At 38.7% G+C, this 6,243-nt stretch overlaps 1 annotated feature.

Moving 5' to 3' along the window:
• Positions 4,356 to 5,555: an enhancer, noted in NCBI's record as "P300/CBP strongly-dependent group 1 enhancer chr4:181854290-181855489 (GRCh37/hg19 assembly coordinates)". NCBI's record gives its function as "activates an origin of replication core promoter dependent on BRD2, BRD4, P300/CBP, MED14 and CDK7 cofactors, with strong dependence on P300/CBP, by STARR-seq in HCT116 cells {active_cell/tissue: HCT116}" and the evidence as "EXISTENCE:reporter gene assay evidence [ECO:0000049][PMID:35650434]".

Genomic DNA, 6,243 nt, shown 5'->3' on the forward strand with positions numbered 1-6,243 from the left:
CAGAGGATTCCATGTTGACCTCAATTACTCTAAAATTCTGGAGAACTACTGAGTGATGTTCTTAATTCTGTAAGTTATATATAAAATATTCATATGGATTCTAGCTTGCCCTGGAGAAAACGTCTCCTTAGAGCAAGCTGTAGAAATCATGTTCACAATATGAGGACTATTTATTTAAAAGGGAAATATGTTCTGAAGCTGGCATAGTTTAGCATCACATAATACTGACTGGATTTTTTTCTCATGAATTTTACTATGTTGGTACTGCAGTTCTCATCAATAGGGCATGTAGAACCTCATGTAACCCTAAACACTGATAATCCCTTGATCACCAAACAGAAGAGTGAATGTGTCTCCAGTAGCTAGGGAAGAAAGGAGGAAAAAAAAATTGGAGTATTTCATTTTGGTACATGGAATGAAAGTATAAAGGGAAAACAGAAGAGACAGAAGAGGAGGTGGTTGCTATTTTTAAGTAATATTTACTACTGATCTGAAATCTGAAGACTTCTACAGTGACATCACAATAACTCTGCTGATAGAATGTAAGTTCTGTAGGATGGTAATTTTTCTCTATACTTCATGGTAGTCACCAATACTAAGCACAGTAGCCAAAACTAATTGATACTAATTGAACGTATGAATAAAATCATTAATTTATTCACAAATGATTGGATTAACATTGAAATGTAAAGCTCATTTAAAATGTTATTTATAAGTAATGATAAAAATGAAAGAAAAGGAAAAGTCATCTGAACTGTTAATATTGCAATGTGTATTATGCCAACTAACAAGCACTTATTTAGTGCTAATTGTGTTGCCCAAGTCAGTTGGAACCACGAGGAACACACAGAAATTCACTCTTGGAAATATACATACACACACATACATACGTGCAAATGTCAGCCTTTGCTTTCATAGCTTTATATTTCATCAGGTGTTTTTACTTAAATTACTTCATTGAGAGAGAATCTTCTTTACGTGCTTACATTTTTTGACTGCACCAAGCAGATAAAGTTTTACTTAGAATCCTGTTTGCTGAATATATCAGAAAGCCACTAAAATTTAGATCTGATAATGCTTAAGCCATTTTCTCTTCATAAGTTTCCACCTTAAGCTATTATTGACAGGAATTGCTCTACTCACAAAGGAGACATTACCAAAGGCTTTGCTAGAAGACATTTATACCCTTTGCTTTCGTATTTTAAATGATTCTACATATCCAATTTCTATTTATGTTGATATGCCAAAAAAGGCAATGTGAATGGAATCTCTTAAAAAATATATAGATTGAAAGATTGACTTGACGTTGATTTAAGTGATGACAAAAATGTGGAATTTATCTTAACATTTATCTGAATGTTAAAATGGCAGCAAAAGTAATTATAATATGCCCTAATGAAGTCAGTGTTCACATAGAGTGAAAAATCCCTCTGAATTCTCTGTTAATAAAGTTTACATGTGAGATTACTTACACCCAGTACATACTGGGTTAGTAATGGTCCTCAACCAGTACACATTTGGCAAGGTCTAAGGGGTGCTATTGGCACGTACTGATTAGAGGCCAGGGAGGTTGCTAAAATGCATTATCAATGCCCAGGACAGTTTCTACGACAAAGCATGATCCATCCCAAGATGTGAATTGTGCTGAAGATGAGAAACCTTGGTCTAGAACAGAGGTTGCCAAACTACGACACATGAGTCAAATTTGGCCAATTTTCCCATTCTGGAAAAGCCTGTGAAAAAAGAATGGTTTCATCATTTTTGAATGGTTGAAAGTTTTCTTTTTTAAAATAATACTATATGATACATTAAAAAGTATGTAAAAATGAATTGCAGCGTTTATAGAATAAAGTTGTATTTGAACATAGCCACACAGATTGTCTCTGGCTGCTTTTTGCCAAAACTGTTGCCAGGTTGAGAAGTTTTGACAGAGACTGTTTGGCTCACAAAGCTTAAAATATTTACTCTCTAGGCCGGGCGCGATGGCTCAGGCCTCTAATCCCAGCAGTTTGGGAGAGTAAAGCTGGCGGATCACTTGAGATCAGGAGTTTTGAGACCAGCCTGGCCAACATGGTGAAACCCCGTCTCTACTAACAAATACAAAATATTTGCCAGATGTACGTGCCGGTAGTCCCAGCTACTCGGGAGGTTGAGGCATGGGAATCACTTGAACCTGGGAGGTGGAGGTTGCAGTGAGCTGAGATTCCCCCCACTGCACTCCAGCCTGGCTACAAAATGAGACTCTGTCTTAAAACAAACAAAAAAGAAAAAAAGAAAAATTACTGTCTATCACTTTACAGCTTTAATTTCATTATTATTTTTGCTGATTAAAATGGCATATACTTTTTTTATTTTTTATTTTTTGAGACAGAGTCTTGCTCTGTTGCCCAGGCTGGAGTGCAGTGGCGCCATCTCGGCTCACTGCAAGCTCCGCCTCCCGGGTTCACGCCATTCTCCTGCCTCAGCCTCCAGAGTAGCTGGGACTACAGGCGCCTGCCATCGCGCCCGCCACCACCCCCGGCTAATTTTAAAATGACATATGCTTTTCCACCTCCATACTTTCTTCAGTTCTTTAGCCTTTGACGCCTAGGTGGGGTCAATGCGCACAGCCAGTCTCAAGGTAGTGGTCTTGATTTCATGAGTGACAGTTTTTCAAGAATACTTCATGGGTGCTGTGTTTCCTCTTTGTGTTTTTTCTTTTTATGTTTGAGAAAACCTAATTACTGTTGCCCCTGATTTTAGTTGGCTATAGTATTTGTGCATTATGCTTTCCAACCTTACATATGGCTTCACGATCTTCAGTTACTGAAAGGCTATGGTGAACTCGAACGAAAATCTGATTCTTCTCTTCCAGCCCCTATGGGCATCCCATCATTTGTGGGTGGTGTTTTTTTTTTTTCTTTTTTTCTGAAGAATGCCTAAAATTTCTTTATTAGTTCTTAAAGTTGAATGATTATTTGGTAGATTTCTTGATGTTGATGTTTCTATATAAAACTTTCCTGGTGTAATGTGTAATTCTGATCTGCAGACTCACTTGTTTCTTGACTTTATGAAAATGTTAATTTATTATATTTTTGATTACAGTTTTCTTTCTTTTAGTGTCTCCACTTCAGAGATACCAGTAGTCTTTATGTTAGAGACTCTTTGTTTTCTGTGTATAGCATAAATTGCTAGTTGATGTAATATCTTTAGCTTTTTTCTCTTTATTTATGAATTGTTAAACAATTATTTTTCCCATTATTTGAGTTTTCATGCATGTCTATCATAGGTTTGTGTTTCTAATTCAATAATTCTCAATCCTGCCTGAACATTAGGATTGCCTGTAGAAGTTTTAAAAGTCTCAAGGACAGGTTACATCCCAGAGCTGTTACATTAATAAATTCTGAGGCATCCAAGACATTGGCATTTTTAAAATTTCTGAGGTAGTTCCAATGAAGTCCACCATTTTAATAAATTAAGATATATAAAGATTTTTGTTTGCTTATTTTCTGGGCTTGCAATCTCCCTTTTGATCTTCTGTCATTTTGTCTTATCTGTTAACAATGTCTTATTAAATTTGTATTTTTAAAACTTTTCCAGAGCTTGAAGCTCATCTGGATAATTTATGTTCTTTTTGAAATTTCAAAATAAATAATTCATCTCAATTGTGGGTGTTTTATCACCCTCTTCTCTTCTCCCTCTCTCCCTTGTCTTTCCTCCTCCTTTCAGTTCTTTCAACCCTGCCACTTGATCTTCTTTCGTTTGTACTGTGCTGGGCTAGATCTGTCAGGGTATTTCCTGCTTACACATTAGAACAGCAGCTGTATCCAGGCTTTCTGGTTAACGTGATACAGACTAAGCATATTTTTCACTGAGACTTGTTTTTGGAGAACAGTTTGTTTCCCAGCTCTAGTTCCTATTTGAGGTCTGGATATTATTTTCCAACCATTTTTTCTGGTCTGCAGGCATGTAAATTTGGTGGAGAAGATCCACACCGGGGCTGAGTCCAGGCCTGGCTAGTAGATACTTGGACTCTGCTCTCTCTTCCAGATATTATCAATGAGTTCTCGCAGGGCAGCTTTGCTTGCTCAATAGTATGTCCCACTGTGACTGGTTTTGACTTATCCTCCTTTCCCTCTATACACACACCCTAAGATAACATAATATCTGAGAAACCTATGTTAGTTTTTTCCATTTGTGCTGAGGTCCTTGGGAGATACCTCAGGGCTTCCTCTCTCAAAATTTTTCTTTGAATTTTCTAAGACTGCATACTTATTCTTAGTCCACATCTCTTCAAATTGGAAATACAAGTTTTGATGAAAATTCTCAGAATGTTATGAACTCATCCGTGTTCCTCTATACTATGTTCTGGCGTGGGGTTGAGGACCATGATGGGAACGAGTTAGGGGTTTTAGCATAACACACAGAATTAGAATCTTTTGTTCACTTGTCTTCCCTTGTTTTCTTGCTTCACTTCACTGTCTTTGCCTAGAAATATGTAGGTTAAATTTTGAGACAGCCTTTCCAGCATAAGTTTGTAAATCCTTCAAAATAGAAATGTTTTTGCAAATGCTCGGTTTGAAACAAATGCTAATTAGTAGATTGTCAAGACAAGGGTTTTGAACGTTTGAGCAATATCATTTTGTTGCATGACACAATAAGTGTGTTCTGAGGGCTGGGTGTGGTGGCTCATGCCTGTAATTACAGTTTGGGAGGCTGAGGTGGAAAAATCACCTGAGGCCAGAAGTTTAAGACCAGTATGGGTAACATAGCGAGACCCCCCTATCTACAACAAATAAAAAGTTAGCTAGGTGTGGTGGCCCATGCCTGTAGTCTCAGCTACTCGGGAGGCTGAGACAGGAGGATCTCTTGAGTCCAGGAGTTCCAGGCTGCAATGAGCTATGAGTGCACTACTGCACTCCAGCCTGGGTAAAAGAATGAGACCCTGTCTCAAAAAGAACAAAAAAAGAAAGAAAACAAGCGTGTTCTTAACACCTTTTCTATTCGTGGCTCTCATACATTCATGTTCCTTGAAAATTACTTGAGGTTCTTACTAGGAATTGTAATTCCTTCTGATTCATGCGGTCTGGAATGGAGATTAGTCACCTGGATGTTGGCATTAGTCACCTGGAAGTTGAACACCACATTAGATGACTCGAATGCAGGTGAATCACACTTTGAGAGAAGAGGGTTATGTGCATAGCATTCTACTTGGGATTGTGAGGGACATAAAAGAAGTATATGGGCCGGGCGCGGTGGCTCACGCCTGTAATCCCAGCACTTTGGGAGGCCGAGGCGGGCGGATCACGAGATCAGGAGATCGAGACCATCCCGGCTAAAACGGTGAAACCCCGTCTCTACTAAAAATACAAAAAATTAGCCGGGCGTAGTGGCGGGCGCCTGTAGTCCCAGCTACTCGGGAGGCTGAGGCAGGAGAATGGCGTGAACCCGGGAGGCGGAGCTTGCAGTGAGCCGAGATCCCGCCACTGCACTCCAGCCTGGGCGACAGAGCGAGTCTCAAAAAAAAAAAAAAAAAAAAAAAAAAAAAAGTATATGATATGGTTCCTGCCCTTAGAATATTTACAACCTTATTTCTCATATATTATACACATGAAACAATACTAGAACAATAGCAAACACACTATATAAAAAGAGGTTAAATATATGGAAAATGCTGTAAATCCTAAACAAAAGTTGCATGGCTTTCAAAATCCGAAATTCAAATTGGAAAAAAAAAAAAGTTAAGTGACTTGTTTCATTTGTCTATTTCAAAATGTGTTCTGAGAATTGATACGACCTTAGAAATCTTTAAAGGCCTTGCAAAAATTGTTCCTGCAACACACAATTTTCTCGATGTACTTGCTGCTGCCACAATGCATACAGCATGCTAAGGAACGCTAACATCCTTTTATGTTGTCATTGGCACTTAATTGTTTTTCTTCTTTGCTCCTACCAATCCATGTGCTGGTTTTATACTCCACAATCAAGCAGATAATCCTTCAGGACAAGTTTTAGGCCTTTATCCCACAGGAATACACAGCTCTTTGCATATAGTAGATGCTCAGTTGAAGTTTGCTACAGGCCAGATGCGGTGGCTCACACCTGTAATCCCAGAACTTTGGGAGGGCAAGGTGGGTGCATCATTTGAAGTCAGGAGTTCGAGACCAGCCTGGCCAACATGGTGAAACCCCGCCTCTACTGAAATACAAAAAATTAGGTTGGTGTGGTGGTGCACACCTGTAATTCCAGCTACTCAGGAGGCTG

This window comes from Homo sapiens, chromosome 4 (assembly GCF_000001405.40).
Source record: "Homo sapiens chromosome 4, GRCh38.p14 Primary Assembly".
Taxonomy (NCBI): domain Eukaryota; kingdom Metazoa; phylum Chordata; class Mammalia; order Primates; family Hominidae; genus Homo; species Homo sapiens.